This window comes from Homo sapiens, chromosome 6, assembly GCF_000001405.40.
Source record: "Homo sapiens chromosome 6, GRCh38.p14 Primary Assembly".
Classification (NCBI taxonomy): Eukaryota; Metazoa; Chordata; class Mammalia; order Primates; family Hominidae; genus Homo; species Homo sapiens.
Window position 1 is genome coordinate 124,556,034 of NC_000006.12, and position 17,377 is coordinate 124,573,410.

The 17,377-nt window shown below is 39.3% G+C and overlaps 1 protein-coding gene across 9 annotated transcripts in view; it reads left to right on the forward strand.

Annotated features, from left to right (window-relative positions):
* Positions 1 to 17,377, forward strand: part of NKAIN2 (sodium/potassium transporting ATPase interacting 2) — a 1,021,776-nt gene that overhangs the window by 752,169 nt on the left and 252,230 nt on the right. The window lies entirely within an intron of this gene.

Sequence of the window (17,377 nt, forward strand, 5' to 3'; positions counted from 1 at the left end):
CTTCCAATTCTCCTTCAATTATTTTGCCCATTATATTATAGAGTTTGCTATGCAAAAAAAAAAAAAAAAAATGAAGAATCTGATAGTAGGAAAACATCTGTAGCTTTCAAGAACTCAGCCTACTTTTATCCTACTTTCTCCTTATCCTGTTAGACTGTATAATTTTTCCTATTTCCATTTTTGTCCTGTCATTTACATCTTTCTTTGGAAGATGTATTCATATTATTCTGTGTATATCCTTCTTATCCACTGCAAACTCTTGACATATAGATAGGGTGCTGTGGTTTAAATGTCTCTTCTACAACTCATGTTGAAATGTAATTGCCATTGTGATGGTATTAAGAAGTGGCACTTTTAGAGGTGATTAGGTCATGAGGGCTTTGACCTCGTAAATGGATCAATGTTATTATCTCAGGAGTAGGTTGGCTATCACAGGAGTGGGTTCCTGATAAAAGGATAAGTTCAGCCCTCATATGCTCTGTCTTATGTTCTTGCTTCTCCTTTCTGCCTTCCACCATTGGATGATGCTCACTAGATGCTGGCACCATGCTCTCAGACTTCCCAGCCCCTAGAAACATGAGCCAACTAAATCTCTTCTATTCATAAATCACCCAGTATTTTGCTAAAGCAGCAGAAAACAGACTAAGACAGTAGGGTATAATTAATGTAAAATTAGTCCCCACAAAACTGTATGAGTTAGTTATTACATGTTTTACAGCTGATAAAACTGAAATTTATGTGGTTTCATACTTTGTTGAAGTCCTAAACTAGTCCTATAATTGGTGAGGCCAGGGTAAGAATCCAACTTTCAGACTAAATCAAATGCTCCTTCAGCTCCACCAAGAACATTTCCATTTTAAGACAAATTAAATCCCTATTTAATCAAGTAAACATTAGCTGTTTAATTTGTAATGTAAAAAGTAGTACTGAGAAGTGATTTTGAAAATAAAGCATTTTATATAATGTAAAACTGTCTAAACCAATGCATTAGTTAATAATAAGCTTTGATAAACACCAGAACAAAAATTTTGTCACTATTATTTTAGATGTCAATGCAATGTGCCTATTATTGAACACAAAGATGCAGAATATTTGCATATAACATTAACATAGGCAAATATTGATGATTGTTATTATGATATTATAGATTGTTTCTAAAAAATAACGGTGAGAATAATTCTATTATGGAGAAATGCTTCTACTTCTTGACTCATCAAACAGTGTATAGTGAAAATATAATGTTAACATTGGGAAATTTCGTATTCAAAGTACAAAAAAGTAGAGATTTTTCTAAAGATGACTTGCCTTTCCCTAAAAAAAAACTCTTTGAGTTACATGTTGCTTTATAGCCCTGCGCTAAAAAGGCACAATTTTCCTCTTTCAAGGTAATCCTACTTTTCCAATTGTGTTTGTGGAAAATGCTCCCTTTTGATTCAAGTAACTTTGCTGATTAAGGAAAACAAAACAAAAAAAGTCCCTAAACTACTGTAACTGAGTTTTTTTTAACAAATTAGTACTGTCCCTATAGACAATACAGAACCTGAAAGGAAAAGAAAGAGGAATTAAGCATACCAGTGACTGTTCCCCACGTTTTCACAGAATTCTGTTTAATCTGAGTTTTTATTATTTACTTTGCTTCTCCTTTGAGATAATCCTGCCTTATTTGAGGTCAGACAGAAAGCATAATTTACGATGCCTGACTGCTTTAAGAAAACCAGAAGCTTCCTACATTGTTCTTTCCTGTACAATTGGCTTAAAGAAGAGGTTTTCTGGTTAGAAAGGCTTTACTTCATGTTTTACTAACAGCGCATCACTTTGACTTAATACTATTAGGTTTCTAAAGTGACTCATTCAGATGAAAAATAAAGGTGCTGTGATTTTAAATTATCATAGAAATGTGAGTTTAAATATTAGTAATTACCTCAAACTTGCACATGACCTAGTAACCCATGTATTACATGATATACAATGCATTGCTTTTTAGATCAAACAAAAGAGAGTGTGTTATGTTTTGCACTTTAAAATCCATTAACTGTTCTCTCTCAGGAGAATGTAGACTAAATCTCAACCTTTCTCTCTGCAGTTTATGATGGTGATAGCAGCTAGATGGGGGAAAAACAATAGGTGATGAAGTTATTTTAAAAAGGCCAGACAGAATGCTTTTTTTCCTTGTATCAGGTTTCAGTCTCCTTCATGATTTATGTGTAGCATCCATGGTTTCTGTGAAGGTATTCAGGACATCATGGGCATCAAATACATAATTAAGACATAATGGAAGGTCTTGGATTGAATGGGTGAATGTGAGCCAAGGCTTGTGGCAACATTTATAGATTCTAGGTTAGTCAGTCTCACCCCCGGACTCTTCTTTCTACTCCATTTTTTTTCATCGTTGTTTTCCTTTTGAAAAAGCTACCTTCAGACTTTCTAAGTCTCTCTTTCTATAAAACCAGGAAGGGTTTACTTTGATTGTAATTTATGTTGATAAGGTAACACTCCTGGCCATTTGTATCTTTATTCCTTTAAGGTCTATTTTTGGAATGAAAGCCTGATCTGCTTTTCAAGATGCCCTAAGAGTTGGTGGGCAGGAAGGAGAAAGAAACTTTTCTTTGCCTCAATAATTATGCCAGACCTCAGCTGGATGTGGTGGCTCAAGCCCGTAATCCCAGCACTTTGGGAGGCCAAGGCGGGTGGATCACTTGAGGTCAGTAGTTTGAGACCAGCCTGGCTAACATGGTGAAACCCCATTTCTACTAAAAATACAAAAAATTAGCCGGGCATGGTGGTGTGTGCCTGTAATCCCAGCTACCCGGGAGGCTGAGGCAGGAGAATTGCTTGAACTGGGGAGGTGGAGGTTGCAGTGAGCCAAGATCATACCATTGCGCTCCAGCTTGGGCAACAGGAGTGAAACTCCATCTCAAACAAACAAACAAACAAACAAACAAAAGAAATCATGCTAGGCCTTACACTGAGAGGATGGTTCTATTTAATCATTTAAGGTACCTAATGGAAACTGGCTCAGAAAGCCAGTGTATACCAGGTATAGATTCGTTTTCCTGTTTACTCCTCGTATTCTAATACATATTTTCTGCCTTAATAAATATTTATTGGACTGATATGAATCTTGAAGTAGCAAGGTGGGGTGGAGGATGGTTGAATACAGCAGTGTCAAAGAATAAACCAATACACGTTTATTCTCTGCCTTCATGGATAATATATAAAATCCTGTGCAGAATAGAATAGATAATGGCCAATATAATAAGTGAGAGGAATGGAGACTCAGGGGTTTTGAGAGTGTGTAGCAGGGCTTTTAGCTGAGTTTTGAGTGGACATACAAGTTGTCTCAAAGAAGTGACGAGCTGAGGCTAAGTGACTCATTTGTCATGGATCAATGTTCCTAGCCTTCAGCGATAGACGATTCCTTACCGTCTCAACTACGCACTTCTCAACATTATGGCTGACCCTGCTGGGATAGTCCTGAGGACTGCTTCTATATATCCCAACTTTCCCTTCATTCTAGACAAGGAGATGAATTGTACTTTCATGCCACCTCAGAGTTAAGTTGGGCAATGTGATTCTCTTTGGCTAACAGAATGTAAGAGAAATGATATATATCATCTCTAGGCAGAACTTTTAATAACTGGCTAATGCTCTGTCACATTTTTTCCTCCTTCTATCATGCCACATAGAGGGGATGCCACGTCCTGGGTCATCCTGGGTTCTGGTCTGAGGACTACAGAAAGTGGAGCAGAGCCCCCTCAGCTAGGCAATGATAGATGTGGAAGGCGAGTAAGAAATAAACCATTTTTTTTTTTTTTTTTTTTTTTTTTTGCTTTAAGCCATCAAGATCATGAGATGGTTCACTTCCACAAGATAACCTAGACTATTCTGACTGATGCATCTGCCCACACTTCGGCTTATGTTATCTCACATTCGCCAGCACAACGTTAACACCCAGTCAAAGCACCTTTAGGTCAAAATATGAGATTAGTTCCTGTATATGGTATTAAAATGTGGCATTATGTTTTTGAGGTTTGTATTATTTATCGACAAGGAAATATATAGCATTGATATGGCTTGGCTGTGTCCCCACCCAAATCTCATTTTGACTTGTAGTTCCCATAATTCACACATCTCATGGAGGAACCAGGTGGGAGGTAATTAAATCATGGGGGCAGTTACCTCCATGCTTCTCTCATGATAGTGAGTCAGTTCTCTTGAGATTTGATGGTTTTATAAGGGACTTTTCCCCTTTTGCTTGGCACTTCTCCTTTCTGCCACCATGTGAAGAAGGACTGTTTGCTTCCCCTTCTGCCATGATTGTAAGTTTCCTGAGGCCTCCCCAGCCATGCTGAACTGTGAGTCAATTAAAACTCTTTCCTTTATAAATTACACAGCCTCAGGTATGTCTTTGTTTTGCAGTGCAAGAACGAACTAATACAAGCATCATAATTAAAAGCATGTAATCTTTGCCATTCTGGGTTTGAATCTTGGATCTTCTACTTATTACCTATGTAGCCCTAGTAAAGTTATTTAACTTTTCTGTTTCTCACTTTCTTCATCTTTCAAATGAATACAACGATGAGGCTACCCTGTATGTATACTATAAGAATTAAATGAGAACAGTGCCTGGCACATAGTAAGCATGATATAAAGATGAGCAATTATTATCATAATCCTAAGATTCTATGTGAAAAAATTCACCTTCTTAGCGAGTTTTGTTGCTTACCACATTATATCTCAGAGGAAAAGTTGAAATAATCTACTTTAAATATTATTTTTTGTTTAAATCAAAACCTGAAAAATGACCAAGAGTGAGTTTATCATTACTATAGTGCCCAGATCATTTGAAAACTTTCACCTCCTAAATGTGACTTTGCTTCCTGGAAGATGCTGCAGAGGTAGGCAGATGATTAAGGCACCAGACATTCTAGTGAAGCCCAGCAATCTTCTAGACCCAGAGGTGATAGAAAAGCAGGAATTTCTGGGCAGGTCACCTAGGAAAAGAGGCCAAGTCCTCAGCAGTGCCCTCATCAGCCCTGATGTGAGTCACTGTCTTGTTTCAGGGCACAGAGCAACAGTGATGTAAACAGAATGATTACTGAGGGGAAAAGTCCGAAGCAGGAGAAGTGATGCCACTGTAGGAGACCTTAGGATCCCAGATGCCTACAATACAAAAAGCCACATTTCATCCAAATCTGTAGCTAAAATAATCAGTTTTAACACATTTCCTTCAAGCAGTTTCGTCAACATATCTATACAGTGTATATAAATATCCCACAGCCATTCATCATCTCTTTCCCATGACATTTGCAATCTCGTGTTTTATGCAGCCAGCTATTATGTTAAACCTGGCCAATTTTGCATTTAGGCAGCATTGTGAAGTGTCATAGCATTTGATGGAATGGCAAGATTGTAAATTGCAATCTGGTCTGTGGGAAAAAATATTTTAAAAACATTAAATTTGTTTTAGTTGCTTAGCTTTCTCCCTCCCCAACCCACCACCTCAATTCTTCATATAACAAGACTTAATGAGAGGAAGATCGCAGTGCTTAAGATGTATTGTTTTCTTTCCTTTTCTTCTTCTTCTTTTTTTTCATCTATAACTGGAAAAAGAAGAGTAGCAGATTCACCTTCCAAGCTGGGGTGGATGGGAGACAGTCTTTGCATAATTCCATTGCATTACTTTAATGGTAAATATATCCTAAAAGAAGACCAGCCTTATACTGTGTTCGGCTGAAATAGCCCGTTTTGAAAATATACTGGGTGGCTCCTTTGCACTTGTGGACTATTAACAGTGGGAAGATCCATCTGCAGCTGTCAGCTCTCTGGATAGCAGTCAACAAATGCATGGCCATGAATTCTCTACATAAGTCAAAGCAATGCATATGGTACCTTACATTCAAGTGAACTGACTTCAATCTGGGCAGATCTCATATTTTATCTCTGTGCTGTTTTAGCGTCTGTCATTGTGGAGAAATTTACCATTAAGATTTAAGTCTCCGAAATCTGGTGCCTTTGGGAGTTTTGTGAAAGCTCAGTTCATAGTCATGTAAATGTGTAGTGACTTTTCAAGTTACTTTTGAGAATCTAACAATCAACATAAATTCCTTTAAATTTCAGGACTTGAAAATTCATATAATACTGTGGAATAAATGCTGTATATGCTACGTCACCAAAAAGAGAAATTTACCATTGTAAAAAGAGTAAAAAGGTTTCTTCCTCCACACTAGTGCCATTGAGACACCATCTCATTCAAATAAAAAAATGAAGTGCAAATTCACCAGTATATTCAGACTCTCTTAGATCAACAGACTTGGCCTGCCTGCAATAGCTAAGGCATACATGTGAAACTAATTTTTTCCTGTGGTTTAGTTTATTTTTCATAGAAGAAAATAAACAGATAGTGTCAAATATTGAAAGCTTTATCTGGCTAGAACAGAGGTTCTTAAACTTTTTGTTCTCAAAACTTCTTTACTGTCTTGAAAATTATTAAGGTTCTCAAAGAATTTTGGTTTATGTTTGTTATATCTATTGATTACCATATTAAAAATTAAAACTTAAAATGTTCAAAATTTTTATTTATCAATTCATTTAAGAACAAAAATAAACCTACTACAAGTTACTGTAAGCAAAATATTTTCATGAAAAATAACTATTTTTCCAAAGCAAAAAACTTCCATGGAAGGAGTGCCATTTGTTTTACCTTTTGCAAGTCTCCTTACTCTGATTTAATAGAAGATAGCTCATTTGAATATCTACTTGTGCATTCAACCTGTTGTAATATCATATGCCATATAGCTTCGGAAAATGCCGCTGTATACTCAAGGAGAAAACAGGAAAAGGAAAATGAAATGTTAGTATTTTTTGTTTCTTTTTTTTTTTTTTTTTTGAGACAGAGTCTCACACTGCCACCCTGGCTGGACTGCAATGGCGCGATCTCAGCTCACTGCAAAATCCGCCTCCTAGGTTCAAGCGATTCTCCTGCCTCAGCCTCCCGAGTAGCTGGGATTAAGACGCTCTCTACCATGCCCGGCTAATTTTTTTGTATTTTTAGTAGAGACGGGGTTTCACTGTGTTGGCCAGGCTGGTCTCAAACTCCTGACCTTGTAATCTGCCCCCCTTGGCCTCCCAATGTGCTGGGATTACAGGCGTGAGCCACTGCGCCCGGCCAAAAATAGTTTTGCATAGAGTTACTGGCTTACACTTTGAGACTTCTGAACTCAACTCTGTACAGATTTCCAAAAAGATCTGAATACCTGGATAATTTTTGAACATTAGTATTATTTTGATTAGTTGTAAACTGAGACCTAAAACAATCGTAGCACTAATCAAATACTTTCAAATATTTTATTTCTAATTAATTTATAGTTTAAATAAATTTGCATTCAAATGTCCGCTGCTACTGTCAGTTTACCTTTGCTTCTTTGCGCCTCTTCTCAGATTGCTTTCTTTTGGTTCAGGCTCTCCTTTTGTACTTTCCAGGACAACCCTGCTATTTCCATGTCCACAGGGTCTTTCACAATTAAATGCAATCAAGGTTGTGTTCCCTGTAAAACCAGGGTTCGTTTGCCTGGAAAGCAGCAAACAACTGTCCATGAGAATGCAGGTTTTAATTAGTAGGAGTATTTGATTGTTTGTTTCTGAGATGGAGTCTCACTCTGTCACCCAGGCTAGAGTGCAGTGGTGCGATTGCGATCTCAGCTCACTCCAACCTCTGCCTCCCAGGTTCAAGCAATTCTGGATTCTCGCGCCTCAGCCTCCGGAGTAGCTGGGAGTATCTCCAAAGTGGTGTCTCCCCGAGGGAAAGTGACAGTAGGGCTTCACTGGGCAATGAAGAGGGGACAGGGTGTATCATCACATGTAGAGGAGGGGTCCCAGTGGCGGGAATGCAGCGAGTCATTATGCCAGCACATAGGTCGCATGTTATGGTAATGATGCTATAGTTTCTCTCAGGGTGGAGACTTTAGCATGGTAATTAGGAAAGATCACTCAGTTTCATCTATAAAGTTCCTAGGGTCTGTCAGGAGCTGCTTCAAACTAAAAAAGTAACCACATTCCACACTGGGTTTGAGGAAGTGACCGGTGAAGCCAGCTGGACTTCCTGGGTGGAGTGGGGACTTGGAGAACTTTTCTGTCTAGCTAGAGGATTGTAAACACGCCAATCAGCGCTCTGTGTCTAGCTAAAGGATTGTAAATGCACCAATCAGCACTCTGTAAAAATGCAGCAATCAGCACTCTGTGTCTAGCTAAAGGATTATAAATGCACCAATCAGCACTCTGTGTCTAGTAAAGGATTATAAATGCAACAGTCAGCACTCTGTAAAATGGACCAATCAGCACTCTATAAAATGGACCAATCAATGCTCTGTATAATGGATCAATCAGCGCTCTGTAAAATGGACCAATCAGTTGGACATGGGTGGGGACAAATAAGAGAATAAAAGCTGGCCAACCCCCCCCTCCCCCACCAGCCAGCAGGAGCAACCTGCTCGGGTCCCATTACACGGAAGCTTTGCTCTTTCACTCTTCACAATAAATCTTGCTGCTGCTTACTCTTTGTGTCCTTGCCACTTTTAAGAGCTGTAACACTCACCGCGAAGGTCTGCAGCTTCATTCTTGAAGTCAGCAAGACCAAGAACCCACCGGAGGGAACCAATCCTGGACACAGAAGAACAGGCTGCAGGGCAGGAGGCTGTAAAAGAGGATGATTGCACAAGTTGATTAAATTCCTATAAGCCCTGGAAACACTCCCTGTATGTTTACAGTTGATGTGTTTATTATCAGCAAAATAGTTGCAGAAAGGCAAGACCCGAATCATCTTAGAGAATGATTCTCTACTTTAAATAAACGTAAGGTAAATCAGACCTAAATATTTCCACTCCAGTTACTGTTTCCCCTTCCATTTTTTTTTCAGGCTTTTATTGTTTAACAACTAATAAAAACTTTTCACATTTCACCACTCAGTTTTATCAGTGTATGTTAAAGCTTCTACCTTTCCCATTTTTCTAACTGTTGCCATTAGAGCAAGAGCAAGAGATTTGTCTGGGATTGGGGAGGTGGCGGTGAGGGGAAAGGGGTGTTGTTGAACTCAGGGAGAGTCTCACAGGGCAATAGAGGTATCATAGCCAAGGTCTTAACCCTTAACTTTGCATATCCAGAAACTTGATTCTTAGTGCTCAGGCAGAATGAGCACAAACTAATTGGAATGTTTTATTCTAACCTCCCCAAAGAGATTGGACAACAACCACAATGTCAGTGCATTACATTTTACTTGGTAATATGACTTCCAAAGAGACTTCAATAATTTCATTAACTGGTTGGTACATTTGCTCACCTTAATATAATTCATATGAGAGGGCAAAATATAATCCAAACAAAGGAAATCAGTGGGATGGTCTAAATAGACATTTTATCAGACTATTGTAATGTGATATGTCGATTGCCATTCTAAATAGCTATTTTATCTCAATATGGGGTTAAGACCAGTTTTCCCTGGATAGTGCCAGAGACGTAATCTCCTCCTTTTGGATTCACTTTCCCCCTGATTCCGTGCGAAACACCACTTAGAGTTCCTTGATTTTATAAAGTGGTTTCATGCCTCTGCACCTTTACAGATTTAGGCACTGACCCCGGATGATTTGGCCTTGTGTGGGCTCTTTTAGGTAAATTTAAGTAACCAATAAAGAAATCTGAGGTGAGTGAGACAGGAAATCGTTCTAATAATGGCTGGATGCAGGATTTCTATGCAAGGGTCTTAGAAGCTTCGATCCAAGGGATAAGTCCTTCATATCTTATTTACAGAAGGATGGGAAGTGTTTCTAACATGTTTTAGCCAATCTTGAATACATTTAATTTCACTGAGAGCCTCTCTTTCACATTCCTCATGATAAATAAAAACCACTAAATTCAATACTAAACGTAGATTTGCTGTGCTAAGCAGTAGGGCTTATAGCTTTGACCAAGTTACAGATAATGGAAGACTTAGTGGCCACCTCTGGAATGAGGCCTTTCACATGAAATGCTAACCACCACTGGAAAGAGATTTGCACCAATTCCGATTACCTCCAGAACTGAAACTTAAGCCAACTGGCAATTACTATTACTCTGTCTGTGTTCAATTATTTTAAAGTCAACTACAGACATGGCAAACTAATTTTAGTGTTACTTTCCTCTAAAAGCGTTTTCTTATCTTTCTTTTAGCTCCACCATACCCCAACCACAAAATCTGGTAGAGATATTGGTCTACTTCCTGGGAGAGAAGTCAGTATGGGCCTTTATTTGTCCTCACCATTCCTTGTGATAATTTTTCATTTGTTTGTATCTCTGTCTCTCTAGTTAGCTGTGAGTAGAGGTGATGTCTTATTCCACTTCACATTCAACGGTGAGTGGCAGGTAGCAGGGGCCCAGAAAATGTTGGATACATGAGTCAGTGAATGGATTGCCCTGGGTCTCCTCTTTTAGATTCCATGAATGCTTTTTTCCTCCTTTTGACACACTGTTTCCTCAGCTACATTAATACAATTAATTAGCTTACACCACTGTTTACTAAAATGTTTTTCTCTGCAGGATATTAATGGGCACTATGCAATAAAAGATTTTGGTACTCAAAAAGTCTGTGAAATGCTGAGTTAAGCAAAGTTTCATAAGACTCTACTGTGGACTTCTTAATTTTAATATACTAATATGCACTTTAAATATTCAAGAATTAAACTAAGATGAGCTCCTAGGGTGACATAATTGAGTACTAAAAAAACCTTAATTTAGTATTTCACACACACACACAAAGATCTTCCAAGAAATGTGTATACTGTAACATTCAGAAAGAAAGAAATCAGAGGAGGCTAGAGAGAGAATGAAAGAGAGAAAGAAAGAAAAGAGAATGTCCATAATTAAGTTTGTAAAACACTCATCAATGCAGACATATGTTCTGACCACAAACTCAAATTGTTCTGGCTTCGATGTAAACCGCGCTTATTCAACCTGTTCTTTAAATTCTTTAGTACTTTTCAGCCTCTGACCTTTTAACATTTTCCCAATTGAATGTCTCTTCTTGGGGCTCAGATTCCATTCATATCGCAAAAACTCTTGACAGTATGCTAAGTTATTGTATCGTCTGGTTCTGTTATCATACCCTTGCTATAAAATTCAATCCTGGATGAAACCAATAATGTGCTTTCACCCTTCTACCTACCCAGACTGCTTACAACTATAGTGTAAACGGCACACAGGACGCATGACTATTATTCTAAATTCATGATCACCAATAATTGGGCTTTCAACTCTGTCCAGTAATTCTACTATGTATTTCTAATCATTTCACTCTCTATTCATTTCAGTTACTATTTCAAACAAACGATTTCCATTTTTAACCTCCTATCTCCCTTATCTGTGTTCATCGCATTTATCTTGAATTTACCCATTTGTATTTAGCAGCTCTCCGTCTCCTCAACCAAAATGTGAGCTCCGTGAGGGTAGGGACCATCTATATTTTCTCTCAGCGTTTCTAACACTCAGCTTTTGCCACAATAATGCTGCAAAAACAATTAACCATAGTGAGATACAACAATAAGCATTTAGTTCTCTCATGACTGGAAGTTGGCAGGAGCAGCTCTGCTGATCTCAGTGAGGATCACTCATGGTCTGCTGGTTGTCTGGATGTTGGTGATTTAGACCAAGGGTCTGCAAACCTTTTGGTTTTAATTCAGAAAGTAAATATGTTGGGCTTTGCAGGCCATATGCAGTCTTTGCCGCATATACTTCTCTTTTTTTTAATTTTTAACAACTCTTTTAAAACACAAAAACTTAGCTTGTGAGCCATACAAAAACAATCACAAGCTGGATTTTACCCACAGCCCATAGTTGGCTATCTCCTGATCTAGCGTGTGTTGACTGGGTCCCTCTGCTTCAAGCTGTGGGTCTAATCGAGCTTGACTGTTAGATGCAGGTGAGGTTCTAGTCATTTGAGCTCTGGAGCCAGGGCAAGCTCTACTAGTGACAATATAAAAAGCAGAAGAGAGCATATGATGCTTATGTTTCTTAAGGCTTAGGTTTGGAACTGGGTCACTGACACTTCAGCCCACCTTTTGTTAGCCAAAGCAAGCCAAGTGGCTGACCCCAAAGCCTCAGTGGAGAGGTTCACTTTGCCTTTTGTAGAAAGCACAGAAAGATACATAGCAAAAAGTATGAACATAGTGAATAGTAAAGAATTGAAACCAATAATTCAATCTCCCATATCATTATATATTGGGTATTTAGACGAGCAATTAGTGCCCACTAGGCCCTTACAAATTTAACAAATGAAGGGAGGATTACTGCAATAATTACAAAATTAACAACAGGCGTGATATAGAGAACATGTACTCAGTTCCAGGAGCCATGCTAAACATTTTACATATATCATATTTTTCAATTCTTACATCCGTTTAGGATGGCTAATATTATTTTCATTTATAGATGAAAAAACTGAGTCTCATATAAGGTAAGTAACTTCCCTGGGGTCAATTAATATTAAGTTAGACCTCTTTCTTTCACTCTCCAATTTCTGGGTTCAGGTTATTCTAGCCATTGATATACTGAATTTATCATTGTTAATACAAGTCAAGTTTATCACTTCTAGCTGGCCACCATGAAATCCATCAGTATAGCTCATTACAAATGTAGGGTGGTCATCTAGTGGTGAAAGAGGAATTCTATAGGCTGTCCACTAAAGAAAAAGTCAATAAAAATGAGGAAAAAAGACTCTGGTTCAGCTTTTGTTTTCCATTATTATTGCTAGAAAAGCACTGTGGCAAAAAAAAAAAAAAAAAAAAAAAAGGAACTGCCTGGAAAATCTTTATTAGAAGAAACTCATACATGTTTAAGCACTTTTAAAGGGTGAATATTTCTGACCACCATCTGTTAATCTGTTCTGTCCTCCCTTTCCTAACATTTACACAATTTCCCATTTTTGGCTTTATTCCCATCTCTATTGGTTTTGGAATCCTAAATTAATCCTGTCAATATTGCCCTCACTGGCAGTCTAGAGTCTCCCACTTATTTGATAATCCATGGCAGTTCCTACCATACTACTCAAGGTGACAAAACGTTTTGAATAATTTCAATAAACTGTATATGAGAACACAAGTAATTCACACTAACAAGTCTTAAATTGGCCTTCTTTCCTGCTTTCTATCTTGGAATTCTTTTCTCACTAATTCCTTGTAAAATATCCTCCTGTTTTATCTCCTGATTGAGATAGATGCCATCTGATGCCACCTCTCACAGATTTTTTTCTACCTAAAAACCAGAAGAAAGTTCTTACTTCCCTATTTTTCCTTATTTTTGCTTAAATTACTTTTTTTCTTCCCTAACAGCTTATAATGTGTTCTACTTGCATCTTCTGTACACCCTCCACTTTTGATATGGTTTGGCTGTGTCCCCACCCAAATCTCACTTAGAATTGTATCTCCCAGAATTCCCAGTTGTGGGAGGGACCCAGCGGGAGGTAATTGAATCATGGGGACTGGTCTTTCCCATGCTATTCCCGTGACCGTGAATAAGGCTCGTGAGATCTGATGGGTTTATCAGAGGTTTCTGCTTTTGCTTCTTCCTCATTCTCTCTTGTTGCCACCATGTAAGAAGTACCTTTCACCCTCTGCCATGATTCTGAGACCTCCCCAGCCATGTAGAACTGTGAGTCCAATTAAATCTCTTTTTCTTCCCAGTATCAGGTATGTCTTTATCAACAGCATAAATATGGACTAATACAGTAAATTGGTACTGAGAGTAGGGTGTTGCTGAAAAGATAAATGAAAATATGGAAACAACTTTGGAACTGGGTAACAGGCAGAGGTTGGAATAGTTTGGAGGACTCAGAAGAAGACAAGAAAATGTGGGAAGGTTTGGAACTTCCTAGAGACTTGTTGAATGGCTTTGCCCAAAATGCTGATAGTGATATGAACAGTAAGTTCCAGGCTGAGGTGGTCTCAGATGGAGATGAGGAACTAGTTGGGAACTGGAGCGAAGGTGACTCTTGTTATATTTTAGCAAAGAGACAGGTGGCAATTTAGCCCCTGCCCTAGAGATTTGTGGAACTTTGAACATGAGAGCGTTGATTTAGGGTACCTGGCAGAAGAAATTTCTAAGCAGCAAAGCATTCAAAAGCTGACTTGGGTGCTGTTAAAAGTATTCCATTTTAAAAGGGAAACAGAGCATAAAAGTTCAGAAAATTTGCAATCTGAGGATGCAGTAGTAAAGAAAAGCCCATTTTTTGAGGAGAAATTCAAGCTGGCTGCAGACATTTGCTTAAGTAGCAAGGAGCATAATGTTAATCCCCAAGACCATGGGGAAGATGTCACCAGGCCACGTCAGAGACCTTCACAGCAACCCCTCCCATCACAGTCCTGGAGGCCCAGGAGGAAAAAATAGTTTTGTGGGCTTGGCCCTGGGTCCCTGCGCTGTGTGCAGCCCTGTGTCTCATCTGCTCCAGCCATGGTTGAAAGGGGCCAATGTACAGCTCAGACTGTGGCTTTAGAGGGTGGAAGCCCCAGGCATTGGCAGCTTCTACGTGGTGTTGAACCTGCAGGTGCACAGAAGTCAATAATTGAGGTTCGAGAACCTTCGCCTAGATTTCAGAAGATGAGTGGAAAAGCCTGGATGCCCAGGCAAAAGTTTGCTGCAGGGGCAGGGCCCTCATGGAGAACCTCTGCTAGGGCAGTATGGAAGGGAAATGTGGGGTTATGGGGTTGGAGCTCCCATACAGAGTCCCTACTTGGGCACTGTCTATTGGAACTGTGAGAAGAGGGCCACCATCCTCCAGACCCCATAATGGTAGCTCCACTGGCAGCTTGCATCATGCTCCTGGAAAAGCTGCAGACACTCAACACCAGCCTGTGAAAGCAGCCAGGAGGGATGTTATACCCTGCAAAGCCACAGAGGCAGAGCTGCCCAAGACCATGGAAATCCACATTTTGCATCAGTGTGACCTGGATGTGAGACCTGGGGTCAAAGGACATCATTTTGGAGCTTTAAAATTTGACTGGCTCACTGGATTTTGGACTTGCATGGGCCCTGTAGCCCCTTTGTTTTGGCCAATTGCTTCCATCTGGAACAGCTGTATTTACCCAATACCCGTACCGCCATTGTATCTAGGAAGTAACTAGCATTGCTTTTGATTTTACAGGTTCATAGGTGGAAGGGATTTGCCTTGTCTCACATGAGACTTTGGACTGTGGACTTTTGGGTTAGTGCTGAAATAAGTTAAGACTTTGGGGGACTGTTGGGAAGGCATGACTGGTTTTAAAAAGTGAGGACATGAGATTCGGAGGGGCCAGGCGTGGAATGATAAGGTTTGTCTGTGTCCCCACCCAAATCTCAACTTGAATTTATCTCCCAGAATTCCCACGTGTTGTGGGAGGGACCCAGAAGGAGGTAACTGAATCATGGCGGCCTGTCTGTCCCCTGTTTTCATGATAGTGAGTAAGTCTCATGAGATCTGATGGATTTATCAGGGGTTTCTGCTTTTGCTTCTTCCTCATACTCTCTTGTTGCCACCATGTAAGAAGTGCCTTTCATCCTGGGCCATGATTCTGATGCCTCCTCAGCCACGTGGAACTGTAAGCCCAGTTAACCCTCTTTTTCTTCCCAGTCTTGGGTATGTCTTTATCAGCAGCACGAATACGGACTAATACACCTTCCTCACATATGCTTAATTTTAGCCACGCCTCTCCAGCTCTAGAGATTTCCATCAACAATTCATTTTTCTTACATTCCATTCTCTCTCCTTTGGCTTCTTTTCTTTTGCCTATAAACATTCAGGTGTATTTTTAATCTAGAACAACATAATTCTTCACCTCATCACTCCCACAAGCTACTGACTCAGAATTTCTCAATACACTTCTCAAAGGCAGATCATTTATTTCTTATTCCTCTCTTCTTCTCCCACTCACTCTGCCCTTCCAATTTGGCTTTTGTCTCTAGCACTCTATTTTATCTGTTCTTTTGAAATTGATCAGTGACTATCCCATCACCAAGTCCAGAGACATTTTCGGAGTCCTCTACCCAGTGGCATAGATTCTAATCTGGGTCTGAAAGTCTAACAACCAGGCCTTAATATCCCAGTTCATGCCATCAAGCTGAGAGTGAATTCATCCTTCCTCCATCTTTGTTCTATTTAGGCTCTTAACTTATTGAATGATGCTCACTCACATTGGGGAGGGCCACCTGCTACAGTCAGTCCACCAATTAAAATGCTAATTTCTTCCAATATCCTCACAGATTCATCCAGAAATAATGTTCAACCAGTATGTAGACATACCCTGCTCCAGTCAAGTTGATAGTTAACATAAAGTTAGCCATCATACTAAATGTACTAAATTATCGTGAGAAGAAATATAATGAACCATAACTGAGCAAAAACAAATTAGAAATTTCCTCTCAATAAATACTTCTCAAAAAATGTTGAATCCCAGTTAATCTTTCCGGTAAATTATTTATTTTCAGAGAGCAGCAAATACTGATTTCTTTTGCAACGGTAGAGTTCAAGTATCCAAAATGACAAGGGTGGCGCACACAAAAAAGAGAAGCTGCCTATCATATGAATAGTCACACAAAGATATCTATAAAGTCTTACCAAATGTTATCCAATTATATTAGAAGGAGCCATAATTTATCATGACTGTATAGAGTTCATCCCAGAAACATAAGTTTAGATCAATATCAAGATATTTTATAAAAAGAGGTTAAATTAAATAATTATATCAATTAATTCCATATAAATATTTCATACAATTTAATTCTCATTTCTCCAAAAAGTTATATTTGTTATTTTATTTATTTATTTATTTTTGAGATGGAGTCTTGCTCTGTTGCCCAAGCTGGAGTGCTGGGGGTGATCTCTGCTCACTGCGTCCTCCGCCTCCCCAGTTCAAGCAATTCTCATGCCTCAGCCTCCCAAGTAGCTGGGATTACAGGCGCGTGACACCATGCCCGGCTAATTTTTGTATTTTTAGTAGAGATGGGGTTTCACTCCGTTGGCCAAGCTGGTCTCAAACTCCTGACCTCAGGTGATCCGCCCACCCCGGCCTCCCAAAGTGCTGGGATTACAAGCGTGAGCCACCACGCCCGGCCAAAAAGTTATTTTTGAACTGTGAATAGAAAGCATATTGGTTAAGCCCCTGACAGTGGAACACCATACACAAAAGCATGAAGCAGTACATTTGCATGTGCTTTCACTGTTATACAATGTTGTTTGGATGTTCAGGCAGCAGCATACGCCTTTCCTTCACTACTTCCTATTGGGGTGGTGGAACCGAGAGCTAGAAGACCAGGCAATCTTACTCAATTATTTCTTCCTTATTTTACGCACCAAGACCTGCTGATTCCCTCTCTCCTGATCTTC